Source organism: Homo sapiens, chromosome 4 (assembly GCF_000001405.40).
Source record: "Homo sapiens chromosome 4, GRCh38.p14 Primary Assembly".
Classification (NCBI taxonomy): domain Eukaryota; kingdom Metazoa; phylum Chordata; class Mammalia; order Primates; family Hominidae; genus Homo; species Homo sapiens.
Window position 1 is genome coordinate 71,748,279 of NC_000004.12, and position 17,961 is coordinate 71,766,239.

Consider the following 17,961-nt stretch of genomic DNA (forward strand, 5'->3'; position numbering starts at 1 on the left):
GATAAAACAAACTACAGTGACTATACTAGTTTTTCCTGACACAAGAAAGACAGGTGGTGGGGGGTAGACAGTATATCACTCTACTTGTCAGTCTCCTCTTTGCCCGGCTTCCACTTGGCTATTTGTATTTGTCTCTGTGTTTTTAAGATTTTAGTGATCAATTCCAGCATATTACAATGACTTTTGGAATACTTTGGGAAATCATATCTGATGCTCACTAGCAGTCTGTTGAAACATTTTAAAGGAAGCATAGTAATGAGTTCTCAGAAGAGCCCAAAGGGATGCCCTGCCTGAATGATGGTAGAAAGAGAAAAGAAGATTTCAAGTCTAATTTTGTAACTATAGGTTTTTCTGTAGGCAAATGGGTCTTTTTTGGCATAAACAAATGAACCACTTCTAAGAGTGCCATGGTAAAGCCAAAAGAAAATGACATTGATTGTTCTATTTCCTGGTCATTTCAAGATTGGGTGAGGATAGGGGTAGATACCCATGTAATGAAACACTAAGTATGGTTCAGAAGCCCCTTTTCCCAGTCTTCCAGTAGTTGTGCCAAGTGTATTTGGAATGACAAGTAGAGACTGATCCCTGGATATAAGTGACTTGCAGTGAAAGGAGTAGATGGATATTACTTTTAAGGAAAAGTTTTTTCAAGCAAATGTATGACAAGGAGATCTCACAAATTAGGATCCAAATATTATAGGACAAATGGGACATTCACGTTAGGCATTGGAAATTAAAGAGAATGCTGTTCAAACAGATGTTGCACTAAAGTAAAGTCAGAAAGGAGGGGTGAGCTTGCCTACCTAGCTATGAGATCAGTTTACAAAGGCAATCAGAGGGCTAATTGAAATAGCAGAGGATTTAATCTCTGTGTACTCTGAATAATCAAATGTGCACAAGTATCTCAACAACTCCATTCATCGCACTCTACTTTAGCAATTACTGAAAGGCTACTCAGCTGCTATAAATTTACTGTCGATAAAGCAAGAAGTGAGAGAGCTACAAACCTGTCTTCTCATCATTGTAATGATTTGAATGGCAATATGTTATATTGAAAACCAACTCAAAGAAATGAAAAACCAGGGGCTTTTAGGAAGCATGAATTTGCGCTTAAAGCTCAGTTTGTCTTGTATGGTGTCAGGCAGGACAGTGCATATCTGTATAGACAGATAACAAAGGGACAGGGAAAGGTTTCAAAAGTGATATTTCTTATAGAATCTAAAAGACATTTAGACTGTTTTCTTCTTCTTTCGTAATAACAGACTCTCAGAGAAAATTTTTCTGGTAGCAAACAACTTCTATGTAAGGTGATTTTATTTTTCTAGGTTAAGGCCACCTAAATTGGAACTAAATTTAGATTACTAAAAGCAACTTGGTATGAAAAGAAAGAACTGTTCAATTTAATTAATTATTTTATGCTAAAAATGTTTTAATGACCAAAATATTCTGACAATCCAGCTTCTTCTGTTTTTATGTTGAGAATCTTAAGTAGTTTGAATTTTAATGAAAGATTAAGATGGCATATTTGTCAGGAGAATTTAAAGAAAAGGCTTTTATTCTACCGTACTCTCTTCATCTGGAATTCTGACTTTATAAATTGTTACAAACAAGATTAGCAAATAGGTTTGGGACCAGAGTGTAAATATGGAAATTAGAAAAGAAACCAGAATCCCTAAGGTTATAAGGAAGAAATTAGAAAAAGATGTAGCTCCATTTGTCAAACTAAGACTTTTTTCTTAGGCACTGTACAATAAAATAAAACAAAACAAAACATAACAAAACAAATAAAACTTTACTAAAATATGGATATTAAGAAATTTGGAATGCATAGCCCAAGACTTTAAAAAAATACTTTACACAGCTTAATTTTTAAAAAGTCACTTCAAGTATAAAAGAGCTGCTATTGCGAACAGAGAATAGACATTTTCTAGTTGATAGAGAAAGCCAGGGTGATTGCAGGAGAAATTACAAAGGGAATATCACAGCTTAATTTATAGAAGAATGTTCTCATAATGCAGCTACCTGGCAATGAAATAGGCCATTTCCATTTCTACTCTTAGGAGTAGATAAATTGACTATAGAAATTTAAATGGAGGCTGAATGCACCTCTAGAAGGAATTAACTGAGTGAGAAATTACACTAGATGATCTTTATAGTTTTCTTTGAACATTTATACTTTCGTGACTTGCTTTTTTAAAAATTAAGTTCTTGGGTATTTTTAAATGCAGTCTAATAGAAACTGGGCTTTATTGCTTTCGTGGCTGATAAATGAACAAAACTTCAGGTAAATTCTTAAATTATTTCACTTATAGAAAGGGCCTTCTGGCCGGGCGCAGTGGCTCACACCTGTAATCTCAGCACTTTGGGAGGCTGAGGCGGGTGGATCACTTGAGGTCAGGAGTTCCAGATCAGCCTGGCCAACATGGTGAAACCCTGTCTCTACCAAAAATACAAAAATTAGCTGGGCGTGGTGGTGGGCACCTATAATACCAGCTACTCGGGAGGCTGAGGCAGGAGAATCACTTGATCCCAGGAGGTGAAGTTTTCAGTGAGCCAAGATCTCACCACTGCACTCCAGCCTGGGTGACAGAACGGGACTTCATCTCCAAAAAACAAACAAACAAAAAAAAAACGGGTTTAAGGGCTTCTAATTCTAATTGGCATGAAATCATTTAACCTAAGTATCATTTGGTATGGCATAGAATTGTTCCTAACCCTGCCTCTATATTTCAGAAATAGAGTGGGCAAGACAACACAATTCTTGGAGTTATTACTAATGTCTCCAAATAAGCAGTAAAGTGAAATGAAGTGCTGTTTTTATCTTTTGACTCTTCTAAAAAAATGAAATGCTTGCTGGAGAGTAACAGGTAAAATGGAGGATGTGAACGTATGGGCTGACATTTTCTGAAAAAGGCCAGCAAAATACACCCCTCACCGTGAAAATAGGGCAGATGCTGACTTGGTGAAAGAAATCTTAGCATAAGACACTTGAAATCTCAGAAGTCGAAGCATAGCTCAGGTCTACTAACAATGGGCCCACACAACCTACCTGAGGTCTCCTCCCCTCTCTCACACCTTCAGTCTATATAAAGATGGGCAGAATACAAGATACCAACCTAACACTGTGGTTTATAGGAGAAAACCAATAGGCCTCAGATGTGGTGATTAGATAAACACTAATTCATCTATTAATACTATCAGAGAAAACAAAAAGGTTTGGCCAGAACTGCTGGTGTTTTGCACAAATTAAAAAATAAATGATCTGGCAATTATGCAAATACATTTATGGGAGAGAAGGGGAAAGAGAGAAAGGAGGAGGGGAATAGGGGAAGGGGTTATTTTACTGTTAACAATATTGGACCTGAACCAGGAAGCGGGAGGGGAAGGAAGAAAAAGGGGAGACAGGGAGGAGGGGAAGGGACATTTAAAGAAAGATGAATCCAAGAACTATCCAAAATTGAGGGGAGTAGGGAGGGAAACTGGAAGATATATAGGACTTCTAATATCTTTAGCTTTCAGAGTTTGGAGACAATTGATAGTGTCTAAAAAAGAAATTCGTAATAAAAAATGACTAAAATTTTAATATTCTTTAAAATCATTTTTTAGTTTTTAGAAAATAACTCTTATAGTAATGAAACATTTATGTGACCTTTAGAAATTCTTCAGTTGCATTTTTTTCTTATGTCATATTAAAACAAAGTTAAATAATATTTTTATAATTAACATATTAATAGAAGGTATGATATGACCCCATTTTTCTAAAGTATTTATTTTTATCAATCTACCTGCCTATATATGCATATGTATGTATCTACATAAACACACATACAGATATATGAAATACAATTTACCTTCACTATGTGAAGGTAATGAACTCTGATGTTCTCACTGTATTCTTATTCTTCTCTTTTTCATTTAAATAGGCTGTTACTAGGTTACAACTCACAATTTGTAAAACACTACACATACTTTGTTGCCTGTGTTCACAGACTCTTTTGTTTCTTAAAAAAAGTATAAAATTTCCTAAGTTTTACAACTACCTCAACTTGCTTTTAAATGAGCATAGCATGAAATCAGTTATGTTTCTTACTTTCATTGCAAAGACAGCCAAGTTACAATAACACCAGGAAAAGCCTGTCACATAATGGCATCTCAATAACAGGAAAGAAATGAGTAGATTGGAGTGCATACGTTCTTAAAAGATTCTGCCATGTTAAGTGGAGGGTTACATTTTCCTACCTCTGAATCACAGTAAAGAGGAGGTGAGTTTATGGAACAGCAGTTGGAGGCAAAGTCTGAGTGCTTGTTAACCAGCTTTGCCAGTTCCGTGGGTGTGGCATCAGGCAATTTTGCTTTTAGTCGCTCTGCCAGTCTGAAAAACCATTTAAATGTAAGGTCTTACTACATGTATTTATTTTATACAAATTTCTAATGCAAAATAATAGCCATTTCAGATCTTTTACAATAAAAATGAAAATAGAAATACTTGCCTGTCTCAAGAAAATTCTATACCTGTGGTATAGAATAGTCAATTTGAGATCAGAAAGTGAAACATGCCTCTTCGAGATCATAAAAATAAACATACAAATCGCTGCTGAATTGGAAGTCCAGTCTTCTTTCATTTGCTCATTATTTCAAAATGGAAGAGTACCTCTTCTATTTTATCCTAACCTTTCACCTTCTCTTCAGTTTTAAATTTCAAATTCCTTAAAGAATATTTCCTTTACAGGACCTCATACCAGCTTAATGCCTTTTTTTCCTCTCATAATTTATATAATTTCACCCTCAATTTATCTACTTCTCAACTCACTATGTTGGAAAACACCAATACAGGAGTAAGGAAATTTTCGCTCTTATTTTTAGCTCTACTAAAAACGAACTCTCCATTTCTCTTTCAGGATGGTGATAAGACTTGATATCTCCTGATTCTTTCAATTTGTACAATCGATGATCTCGGCGTCTCTCCACTCCCATGAACAACTCAGCCTGGTTTTATGACTTTCTTCAGGAAATGCTTGCCAGCCCAGCGGGGGGCAATGGGAGGTAAGGAGACTCAAATTAATCTAGAGTTGGGCTTGGCAAGAGTGGATGCTGGGAAGGGACAAAAGGGTAAGGGGGACCAGTTAGTTCATAAAAGCATTGTTGAAACAAGTAGGTTTGAGCTGCCGGGGGGTGCAAATGAGGCAAGAAGAGACTCAAAGGAGGCAAAAAAAAAAAAAGAAAGTTGGGGGGAGGAGGGAATAGGATCTGAGAAATTTACTAACGTTAGGAAAAATGACATGGTCTTCTCAATGGAGACTTTCCCCAAGAACCCAGTACCACTTCTTACCTTATTGTGGCCTATTATTTTACTGTTAATGTCTATTTATAGAGAAATGCTTTTTCCTTCTCTTAATTGAGAAAAATGACTATTATATAACATTATTGGTAGTTAACATTTCTATTTCTAATTTATAGGGAATATATGCTGGTGATAGCTGACAGTATGCTTGATTGAAAGTTTGGGTCTTCTTGCCAGGCAATATGCCATGAAGTTAGATAACATTTTTAGCAGTTTTATAGGTCCTCAATTTTGTACAGCAATATCTACAGAAAATTCTGGGGTAAGAATGTTGCTAAGCTATGTGCTCATTTTGCCATTTTGACTCAAGTTCCTGCAGATAGATTTCGTCATCTATATTTTTATGGCTGTTTTAATTGGCCACCCACTTGCTACACATGACATGTTTCCTCCAGAAAAACTTAGCTTCTTCTTATACAGATGTTAGATTCCAACTACTTTTAAAAAAATAAAATGATTTAGGGGGTACAAGTGCATTTTTGTTACATGGATGTATGGCATAGTGGTGAAGTCTAGGTTTTTAGTATAATCATCACCCAAATAGTGTACATTGTATCCAATAGGGAATTCCTTATCCTTCACCCCTCTCCTACCCTCCCACCTTTTGGGGTCTCCAGTGTCTATTATTCCACTCTATGAGATTCTGACTACTTTAAAAAACTCCTAATTGAACCTCCTTTTGTTGTTGTTCACTGAAGACAAGCTTAAGTGTTCAACTATGCTTTCAATTCATAGTACTATGAAAATATTATTGATAAATTTGGAGGATACAGCCAGAACAAGTTTCTTACTTTTTCTTGTACTCAGTAAATGTATTTTCTGAATAATCTGCACATAGTTCTTGTCCCTTGTCAATGAAAGAAGATAGTTCCTTCTTTAGTAGAGGGCCCTGTAAGAAAACAATAATTGCATAACAAAATTATTTGTCTTGAAACCTTGTCCCATCAAGCCATTAAATCAAAATTCCAAATATTGTATCATTAAGCATTGGCAACTATTTTCTACAGAAGGCCGGATAATAATTTTAGGGTTTGCAGGCCATATGTGGCCTTTGTTGCAACTACTCAACTCTGTACAGAAGCAGTTGTAAGCTTTGCAGAAACAATGAGGATGATTGTGTCCCAGTGGAAGTTAATGTATGTATGAACACTGAAATTTGAATTTTGAATAATTTTCATGGGTCATGAGATACTGATGTTCTTTTGCTTTTTTCCCAACAATGTAAAAATGTAAAACCATTCTTCTGTTCTTAGTTTGTAGGCCATAAAAAAGTAGGCAGTGAGCAAGTTTTGGCCCATGAACTATAATTTTCCAACCCTTGATCTATGTGCTTGATAAAGAAAATCCAACAAATATACCTTAGCATTAAAACAGGTAGTTGAGTCTTCAACATCACAGCATTCACCAAGGCTTTTTAGGGTTGGCTCAAGTACCTTACTGAGGAATACTTCCGGAAGATGAGTCCTTCTGCTTAGTTCAAATGTATACCTAGCATGAGGGAGAAAAGGAGATATGTGTTATATATTTCCTATTTATTTATTTATTTATTTATTTATTTTTTGTGACAGAGTCTCCCTCTGTCACCCAGGTTGGAGTGAAGTGGTGCCATCTTGGCTCGCTGTAACCTCTGCCTCCTGGGTTCAAGCGATTCTCATGCCTCAGCCTCCCGAGTACCTGGGATTATAGGCGCCCACCACCATGCCCGGCTAAGTTTTGTATTTTTAGTGGAGACAGGGTTTCACCATGTTGGCTAGGGTGGTCTGGAACTTCTGACCTCAAGTGATTCGCCTGACTCGGCCTGCCAAAGTGCTGGGATTAGATGGATGAGCCACTGTGCCTGGCCTACATTTTAAAATGTGAAATATCTATCATAAAGGCAGAGCACCTGGTTTCTGCATCTTAATTAAAAAGAAGAGATTTAGCTCAGACTGACTCTAAATCAACAGGCTTTGGATTATAAAATACTTTCATTGAGATACAAGCTATTAATACTTGCTATTGTGACTAGTCAATACTGAATTAAAGCTTTGCATGTAATATACATTTAAATATATTATATGTAAACATATCTACTTCAAATGCATATGGAACTGTCTTTGTGCAAGCATAATGCAATTGACTCTGTATAAAGCATCAAGTGGATACTTCAAAAGGCTTTTCTGTGAAAATTGGTTTGTGTAAATTCCTTCATTATGTCTTACCCCACTGCTGTCTATGCACTTATAAAAGCAATACACATTTAGAAAAATGTAAAGTTTCAGTCCTATGTAACTTCTACCATCTGATATTGCTAATTGATATTTCAACCTGCTGCTTCAAACTATTTGTGAAATATTTTTATGCCATCATTATGCATACACATCTATTCAAACCATGGTATATTTTTAACTTACTTTTTTTTAGTTGGATGAAACAGGATAAAAGTTTACCATTTCTTTGCATTAAATCTCTTTTTAAATTTAATGAAAATGAATATTGATAATGCTAAGAAAAAAATATTCTGTGCTTGGTATCTCTTTTATTTGTATCAAATGCTTATTGTCCAAAAGTTTAGTATACTTTAGGCTTTTGATTTGTGACTTTGAACCAGAAGTAATATGATAAAACTAGTTAATAATATTATAAACATTTCTGGTTGCATGATATATTTTACATGTGTTCAGCATTGTATGCAAATATGTGTTTTCACATTTACTTTCACTTACATTTCTACATGCATTTCTCATTAGCAGTCTGTGTGCTAAGTAAGGCAAGAGTTAACATTTCCAAATTAATTAACAATAGGCTGAAGTTCAGAATTATCAAGTCACTTCTTTTGGCCATGCACAGGAAACAGAGAAGGCACAATTAGGAACTCTAAGCTCCTTTCTCACTACCCAAAATCTTTCTATCACACTCGATTATGGTGTTTTAAAAATTTTAGTCATTTACAATTAATTAACAAATACTTAAAGTCCATGAAAAGCATAAAGGTAGTACTTTGCCTATGTTTGAAATGAGTGATAGCATACCTTCCCTCCATCTGGCTGGCCCCCACTTTTTGTCCAGATGAACTTAAAATGGGAAAACGTTTTCACATCACCTCTACTTACTTATCCATGACTTTGGTGTTTCCTGGATCACACACATCTTTGTTTGTGGGCAACTCTACATCTGGAAGCTCGGGGAGTTGGGCAGCTGGCATGAAGTAAGTGCACACAAAAACGTCCATGGCTGTTTTTTCTTGACAACAGTCTTCAAACTTAGAATTCTTTGTGGATAAATTGTCACAGAGTTTTACTGTGTGTTCAGGCAGCTACAAAACGAATGGTTAGTTTGTGCATTGTTAGTTTCCTGATAGTCTAATTAAAAATAAGAATTACATAGGCTTACAAGCTTTGGCATCACATTTATGAAAGTCAGTATGAAGACTCTCAGAAAGAAAATTGGTACAATATTTGGAAAGGCAGTTTGTCAATATGTACTAAAAGTCTTAAAAATGTACAATTCTATTTTTAAGAATTTATACTCAGAAAATAATTGTAGATAAAACGACAACAACTATAAGGCTATTAAGTGCAACGATTGCCTAAAATATTTTAAAAAAACCAACACAACCTAAATACAATAGAGGATTAGTAAAATAAAAATATGGTGTGTCTAGATAGATAGATGTAATACATGACATGGATATAGGCAACAGAGTCCTATTTAGCCATTATAAATCCTTATAGAAAAGCATCTATTAACACAGACATGCATTTTTAATGGAAAAAGACAAGGCAACACAATGTATCTATTACTACAGAGATTGACAAGATCTTGGAGACTGACCTTCAGCTAAAGCAATTATTCAAATTTAAATAGTTTTAAAGGATTATGAAAATGAAAAATGGTAAAAAAAATTGAGATGGGCATCAAATTATAAAAAGTATAATAAAAACAGTAGTAGCGTCTACTAGTATAATGGTTGAAGTGCCGCTTAATGGAACTTTACGCAATAATGAAAATGATCTGTATTTGCACTATCCAATACCATTGTGCATTTGAAATGTGGTTAGTGTAACTGAAGAACTGAATTTTAAATCATATTCAACTTAAACATATATGTTTAACTTTAACTATAATTAAATTTAAATGACCATATGTGGTAATGAATACCATACAGTGCAAGTAGCATAAGGTCTTGGAAATCAGATAATCTCATCTTTGCATATGGACTTTGCCACCTACTAGTTGTGTGGTAACAAATTATTGACCCTTACTAATCTTCTGTTTTCTCACCTGTACAGTGATGTTAATAATTATTTATATTTCATAGAATACATGTAAGCATCCGTTAGGATAATGCATATGAAATAGAACTTAGAAGAGTACCTGCCACTCAGTACTTGGCACTCAATACCTGGCACATGGTGATAATGATAATAAAGCTTGTCTTACCTCTTTGGCCATGCAATCTTCAGAGGCAGACTCACAGCATTTGGAGAGGATGTTAGTAATATCTTCAGCTAGTGGCAAAACATCCTCCAGATCAGCAGTAGGCACTTTTTGGGCTAACTTTATGAGATTGCTAAACAGTTAAAAATAAATATGTTAGCTTATCAACATTCTCAGTTTTCTTGGTTTCGTGATGAACGCACTATTTGGAGAAATAATATCACAATTTCACCTCCTTGGCCTCAAGAGATGCATGGGAGCACATCTGCCATGCGATAGATCTTATGTACCCAAGCCACAGACTCAAGATCAAGAGATCCCTAATGAATCTTTCCAAATTTTCAGTACCCAAATGCAGCTTCTCTTCTTGCCAGATATACATAGTGAAAGCACTCCTTTAAAATGTTAGATCTAAAGCATCAATGAAGAAGTCACAAATGTCTCTTTCTATTCATAAGGCCAATGTTGTATTTTTGTGGCCTCTCACAGAGTTGTAAAAGTGTGTTTTATAAATTCTTTTAGAAACTATAGAGACCTGTAGCTTTACACCACAGAGTTAACAAATGTTCACATTTTGGGTGTGTAACCTTTCAGTATTTTATGTGTGAATGGTATGCTATACTATTCTCATATTTGCCTTTTTCACTTAATATACCAGGAATAACATTAAATATTTTTTCAATATTAATATTCCTAATATATCATGAATATGATTAAATATTATTTTAAAAAATTGTGGTGAAAATGACATTAAATTTACTATCTTGACCATTTTTAAGGTATACATTCAGTATTTAAGTATATTTACATTGCTTTGCAACAGATCTCTAGAAATTTTTCTCATGCAAAACTAAAACTCTGTACTCATTAAACACTGATTTGCTCTGCTCCCACTTCCCCTCACTCATCCTCCCATTCCTTGGCAACCACCTTTCTATTTTCTGTCTTTATGATTTTGATTACTTTAAATACTTCGTATGAGTTGGAATTGTACAGTATTTGTCCTTTTCAGACTGGCATATTTCACTTAGCATAATGAAAGTCCTCAAGGTTCATCCTTGTAGCACGTGACAGGATTTTCTTTTTTTTTCAGGCTACATAATATTCCATTGTATGTATATACCACATTGTCTTCATCCATTCATCTGTTGATGGACATATGGGTTGCTTCCACCTCTTGGTTATTGTGAATAATTCTGCAGTGAACATGGAAGTGCAAATCTCTTTGAGATCCCACTTTGAATTTTTAAGATATATACCCAGAAGTGGAATTGATGGATTACATGTTAATTCTATTTTTAATGTTTTGAGGGACTTCCATACTGTTTTCCATAATGATTGAACCACTTTACATTCCTACCAACAGTGTACAAGCGTTCCAATTTCTATGCAACTTTGCTAACATTTGCCAATTTCTGTTCTTTTGATAGTGATTATCCTAATGGGTATAAGGTGATACCTCACTGTAGTTATGGTTTGCATTTCCCCCATCCAATTATTATACTAACTAGGCCTGACCCTGCTTAGCTTCTGAGATCAGACAAGATTGGGCGTGTTCAGAGTGGTATGGCGGTAGACTTGATTTGCATGTATCTTAAGGTTAGTGACGTTGAGCATCTTTTCATATGTTTATTGGACATTAGTATATTTTGTTTCAATAATTGTTTATTCAAGTCTTTTACCCCTATTTTAATTAAGCTACTTGTTTTTTTGTTATTGACTTATAGAAGTTCCTTATATATTCCGAATATTAAACCCTTATCAGATAGCTAAATCTGTTCATAGCAAATGCTATTTCCTTGAAGTACATTTCTGGACATGAATACAAGTATCACTTAATGATTATATAAGTAATATATATGGTGGCTTTATATTAGAAATTCCCTCTGTTCTGCCTGTCAAACTACTATCTCTACGTAAAAGGAAAACTAAAGAAAGGACTAGAGAAACTGTCATTGAGTATTCAAGTAGTTCTGAGGAACTGTTATATTTAAAGAAACTAGTTTTTTTTTTTTTTTTTTTGAGACGGAGTCTCGCTCTGTCGCCCCAGGCTGGAGGGCAGTGGTGCAATCTTGGCTTACTGCAAGCTCTGCCTCCCAGGTTCATGCCATTCTCCTGCCTCAGCCTCCTGAGTAGCTGGGACTATAGGCGCCCACCACCATGCCTGGCTAATTTTTTTTTTTTTTTGTATTTTTAGTAGAGACGGGGTTTCATCGTGTTAGCCAGGATGATCTCGATCTCCTGACCTTGTGAACCACCTGCTTTGGCCTCCCAAAGTGCTGGGATTACAGGTGTGAGCCACCGTGCCTGGACAAGAAAGTAGTTTCTATTCCCATTACGGAAGCTTATTATGCATTGCTGGCAAGAAGTTCTTTGATTATCATTAGAGGAAAAAAACTTGTGAGGATAGTAGAAGGAATCAAAGAGACTGTAAGTATGGAGGGAAAAAAAGTTGGCAAATCTAGATGTTTGAGAAAGTATGAGAGAAGTGCAGCATAGAAACTATCAAAATTAAAATACAAGTTAACAGTAGTCATACAAAAATCAAAGTGAAGGTTGCAAATATAAGGTTGATATGGTTTGGCTATGTCCCCACACAAATCTCATCTTCAATTGTAACTTACACAATTCCCACAGGTGGTGGGAGAAACCTGGTGGGAGGTGATTGAATCATGGGGGTGGGTCTTTCCTGAGCTGTTCCCGTGACAGTGAATGAGTCTCACAAGATCTGATAGTTTTGAAAACAGGAGTTTCTCTGCACAAGCTCTCTCTTTGCCTGCGACCATCCATGTAAGATATGATTTGCTCCTCCTTGCCTTCCACCATGATTGTGAGGCCTCCCTAGCCATGTGAAACTGTGAGTCCAATTAAACCTCTTTCTTTGTAAATTGCCCAGTCTCAGGTATGTCTTTATCAGCAGCATGAAAACAGATTAATACAGTAAATTTGTACCAGGAGTGCGGTGCTGCTGAAAAGATACCCGAAAATGTGGAAGTGACTTTGGAACTGGGTAACAGGCAGAGGTTGGAACAGTTTGGAGGGCTCAGAAGAAGACAGGAAAATGTGGGAAAGTTTGAAACTTCCTAGAGACTTGTTGAATGGCTTTGCCCAAAATGCTAATAGCGATATGGACAATAAGGTCCAGGCTAAGGTGGTCTCAGATGGAAATGAGGAGCTTTTTGGGAACTGGAGCAAAGGTGACTCTTGTTATGTATTAGCAAAGAGACTGGTGACATTTTGCCCCGGCCCTGAAGATCTGTGGAACTTTGAACTTGAGGAAAATAATTTAGGATATCTGGCAGAAGGAATTTCTAAGCAGCAAAGCATTCAAGAGGTGAATTGAGTGCTGTTAAAGGCATTCAGTTTCAAAAGGGAAGCAGAGCATAAAAGTTCAGAAAATTTGCAGCCAGACAATGTGAGAGAAAAGAAAAGCCCTTTTTCTGAGGAGAAATTCAAGCTGGCTATAGAAATTTGCATAAGTAACAAGGAGCTGAATGTTAATCCCCAATACAATGGGGGAAAATGTATCCAAGACATGTCAGAAGTCTTCACAGCAGCCCATCCCATCACAGGCCTGGAGACCTAGGAGGAAAAAGTGGTTTCTTGGACCAGGCTCAGGGTTCCCGTGCTGTGTGCAGTCTAGGTATTTGGTGCCCTGCATTCCAGCTGCTCCAACCATGGCTGAAAGGGGCCAATGTAGAGCTTGGGGCATGGCTTCAGAGAGTGTAAGCCTCAAGCCTTGACAGCTTTCATGTGGTGTTGAGCCTGCGGATGCACAGAAGTCAAGAATTGGGTTTTGGGAACTTCCACCTAGATTTCAGAGGATGTATGGAAACACTTGGATGTCCAGGCAGAGGTTTGCTGCAGGGGCAGGGCTCTCATGGAGAACCTCTGCTATGGCAGTGCAGAAGGGAAATGTGGGTGTGGAACCTCCAAATAGAGTCCCTACTGGGGCACTGCCTTATGGAGCTATGAGAAGAGGGCCACCGTTCTCCAGACCCCAGAATGGTAGATCTACTGACAGCTTGCACTGTGCACCTGGAAAAGCCACAGATGCTCAATGACAGCCTTTGAAAGCAGCTGGGAGGGAGGCTGTACCCTGCAAAGCCACAGAGGTGGAGCTGCCCAAGACCATGGGAATATGCCTGTTGCAGCAACGTGAGCTGGATATGAGACATGGAGTCAAAGGCGATCATTTTGGACCTTTAAGATTTGACTGCCCCACTGGATTTTGAACTTGCATGGGGCCTGTAGCCCCTTTGTTTTGGCCAATTTTTCCCATTTTTAATGGCTGCATTTACCCAATGCCTGTACCCCCATTGTATCTAGGAAGTAACTAGCTTGCTTTTGATTTTACAGGCTCATAGGCAGAAGGGACTTGCCTTGTCTTGGATGAGACATTGTACTGTGGACTTTTGAGTTAATGCTGAAGTGAGTTAAGACTTTGGGGGACTGTTGGGAAGGCATAATTAGTTTTGAAATGTGAGGACATGAGATTTGGGAAGTGCCAGGGGTGGGATGATATGGTTTGGCTGTGTCCCCACACAAATCTCATCTTGAATTATAACTCCCACAATTTCCACATGTCATAGGAAGAAACCAGTGGAAGGTGATTAAATTATTGGGGTGGGTCTTTCCTGTGCTGTTCTCATGATAGTGAATGAGTTTCATGAGATCTGATCGTTTTAAAAACAGGAGTTTCTCTGCACAAGCTCTCTCTTTGCCTGCTGCCATCCACGTAAGATGTGACTTGCTCCTCCTTGCCTTCCACCATGATTGTGAGGCCTCCCCAGCCATGTGGAACTGTTAGTCCAATTAAACCTCTTGCTTTTGTAAATTCCCCAGTTTCGGGTATGTCTTTATCAGCGGAGTGAAAATAGACTAATACAAAGGTAGATAACTAATGAGAATAAATTAATGAAGGGCAAGAGATATATACTGTATAGCACAAGTCTTCATACAACAAGTAAGAATTCAGATGTCTCATTCCAAGAAAAATTGGGCAAGGCAAATAATAGGTAATAAACAAAAGGTTGTGTTTTTTTGGTTTGTTTTTGTTCTTGTTTTGCTTTTTTGTTTGTAACATATGCTAATATGAACACTGAAAAAATATTTTCTAGTGGTCAACTATATGGAAAAGATTGATTAAAAGCAAATCTCATGTTTTATGACATAAACTTTTTCCTTATTTTTCATAATCTGTATAGAGAAAAGAAAACGAGAATTTGGCCAGATTTTTGGAGATTATTGGAGCTGAAAAGTCTATTTTATATCTTTCAATATAGACAGCTTCTTAAAAAAACCCTAATATTATGGATAGACAGTGCAGAACCAAACATCTAAATATGACAATAGCACTTAATCTTTACCTGAGCCTTGATTTCTTCTCCCCATAAGCAGCATATTGTGAGCAGACTCTATTTGACAGAGTGGTGAGAAGTGATAAATGTTTAAGCTGGAGTCTCTAGAAAACAAGTGAAAGAATCTCATTATATGGTCAAGACTCATTGAATACTGTATAAATGGCAAAAATAGGGACTATTAATTTCATGATTTTTTAATGAATAGGAAACTGAACACTGGTGAAAGGAACTTATTGATATTACTTTTCCAGAGGTATTACATTTATTTTCCAATTAAGAAGATGCAAGGGTGGCATTTTAGAAACTTTTACTGATTGCAAAATCTCAATTTCTACCATTATCTAAAAGGAATGCTATTAGAAGAAAAAAACGTAAACATATAATAAGTAAAATGGGACATACCTCTTTCAAAAAGCATACAGTTGGGCTTGCAGAGGTACAGCAGGACCCTACCATAGAAAGATAACTCTTGGTGTAACTGACTAAAAGTGACAGAGGAGCTTGTCCGTAATTAGTGGAATATTCCCACATAAATCTGTGGAGGAAAAAATAGAATTGGTCAAAAAATTTGTGAATAAACAAAATCTACTTTTTTATTTGAGACAGTGTCTTGCCCTGTCATCTAGGCTGGAGTACATGGTATAATCATAGCTCACTGCAGTCTCAACCTCCTGGCCTCAAGCGATCCTCCTGCTTCAGCTTCCTGAGTAGCTGGGACTACAGGTGCATGCCACCATGCTCATCTAATTTTTTAATTTCTTGTATAAATTAGGTCTCACTAATTGTCCCAGGTTGGTCTTGAACTCCTGGGCTCAAGTGATCCTCCGACCTCAGCCTCTCAAAGTGCTAGGATTACAGATGTGAGCCACCATGCTTGGCCCCCAAAACCTACTTTTTAGTAAGTATTTTGATGGACAAAGGATATATGTTACATTAATTTATAGTTTTAATATCTAAAAAACACTAAGAATTTAGAGAAAAGGTTATAATACTGGCCACTATTAATCAGTATATTCATTCATTAAAAATAGATTTACAAATTTCTATGTGGTTTGTGTGAGAGGAGGGGCCATTTGTCCCTTTATTCACTTAATGTCTGGTCAGGTGCATCACCCATGGTATCTGCTTGTTAATTAAGCTGCTAATTGAATTAATTAAAATGAATGTAATTGCTAGATTAATTTTTCATTATCTATCTCAGTTTATTACTTTAGATAATTATTATGTATAGATTACTTATTTTTTGGAAGAAATAATTTCTATTTCTGGGAATAGATGTCCTTATGGATCTAAAAGGGACTGAAATTCTGGGCAAAATCCTCTTTGAAAATTGACAGGAATGAGCAATCCTACTAATTTTTACAATTTGTGACCACTTTGAATGACATTGCTCCTGGTTTTTGAATATGTATATATTTCTTACTTTAATAAATGTATTTTCCCCCAGTTTTGTTCATTTTTGTGACCTTCCAAGACTAACATAAAGATTCAGTGTATAATCTGGCCCCTTGTGCATGTTAAACCATAAAAATTTTAAGGTTACGTGTTTACTTGATGTAGTAGATGTGTCATATTTACACGTACACGTCACATGTTTCTGGGATGTATAGGAGTGAAGAGAGAAGCTGTTTATTTTTTATGCTTTACTGGAAATTAAGTATTTAAAATGTGTACAGCAATAAAATTGCTTCTATCATATGACATACGCAATGATCCTTAGCATCAGGGAAATCACCACAGGGGCTGTCAAATATTTGAAAATATATCATGTGGACAGGATACTCAAGTGATTCTGGTTCAGATAATAGGATTAGGGTTAGTAAGAGTTTGGGAAAATTGATTTTATCTCTGAGAAAGGCATTCACAAAACTCAGCACCAAAGGGAAGATGGGCTGTCTCAGATGACAGTCAAGTTATCAGAATTTGTTCAGGTTGCTGTAGAAGAGGTGTTTCCACAGAGTAGGGGGTTAGATTAGAGTCATTTCTGATACTTTAGGTCCTAAAGTTCTATTTATGATGAAGGCACTCACTGATTAGCATATTCCTTTGGATCTTTCCTGAACGCCTCACAGATTTCATCATTTGTGGGTTCCACGTAGGTAGGGAATTCCTGTGGCTGGTGTTTCAGAGCAGCCATGCAGAGCTTTCGTTCCAGGCCCTCTTTGGTGCAGCACTCAGCAGTGCCTGGGTGAACGGGGAATGGAGAATTACTTTCACAGGACTTGGCAGACAGTGCTGAGGTCTGGAGGAGAAGGAAAAAGGAAACTCATATATATATGTAAATTTCCAGGCTTTTAGACTTCCATTTAATATAATATCTTAGCCTATAATTAGAAAATTCTCATTTATAACTATGTATTCATGCCAAGGGCTCCATGAAGTGATTTTTTAACATGACAAGTTGTGTGATTATCGGCAAGTATAGGATCTTATTTATGTTAGTAAATGACTCCTCAGAGTAGAACAAAAATAGAACTTTGAATAACAAATGGACAGTGTTTATCTGATTAGAGCCATTAGAATTGTATTCTCTAGCCTAGTGTTCCTCCGTGGGGATATTAACATCTCTGAGGATGAGAGGGTCATTTGAAAAAGCTCCACAGATGATTCTGTCATTATCTCCCATCTGCTTTCTGCTGTAAATGCCCCAATAAGAGTGAGGAGGACCTCCCTCTGTTTATTAAATGAGCTCTCCTTCCCTCCCTTTGTGAAATGAGTAGACTCTTGATTGCTGGTTCCTTTAACTTTCTACATTATTTGCATTCTCTTACCTAATGATTCTTGAACCGGCTTTTGCATCAGAATTACTCATAGAGTGCATAAAATAAAAAATGCTTT

At 36.6% G+C, this 17,961-nt stretch overlaps 1 protein-coding gene and 1 pseudogene across 4 annotated transcripts in view; both read right to left on the minus strand.

Moving 5' to 3' along the window:
• GC (GC vitamin D binding protein) overlaps window positions 1–17,961 on the minus strand; it is a 63,828-nt gene that overhangs the window by 6,586 nt on the left and 39,281 nt on the right. For 3 of the 4 annotated variants that reach the window (NM_001204306.1, NM_001204307.1, NM_000583.4), the window contains 8 exons: window positions 17,154–17,365; window positions 15,526–15,658; window positions 15,130–15,224; window positions 9,764–9,893; window positions 8,434–8,636; window positions 6,700–6,829; window positions 6,133–6,230; window positions 4,240–4,372 (listed from right to left, as the gene is read on the minus strand). In NM_001204306.1, coding sequence (NP_001191235.1) covers window positions 4,240–4,372; window positions 6,133–6,230; window positions 6,700–6,829; window positions 8,434–8,636; window positions 9,764–9,893; window positions 15,130–15,224; window positions 15,526–15,658; window positions 17,154–17,365 — 1,134 coding nt within the window. The remainder of the gene's footprint in view (window positions 1–4,239; window positions 4,373–6,132; window positions 6,231–6,699; window positions 6,830–8,433; window positions 8,637–9,763; window positions 9,894–15,129; window positions 15,225–15,525; window positions 15,659–17,153; window positions 17,366–17,961) is intronic. The other variant, NM_001440458.1, reaches the window with a different exon arrangement.
• Window positions 11,240–11,338, minus strand: RNA5SP163 (RNA, 5S ribosomal pseudogene 163; annotated as a pseudogene).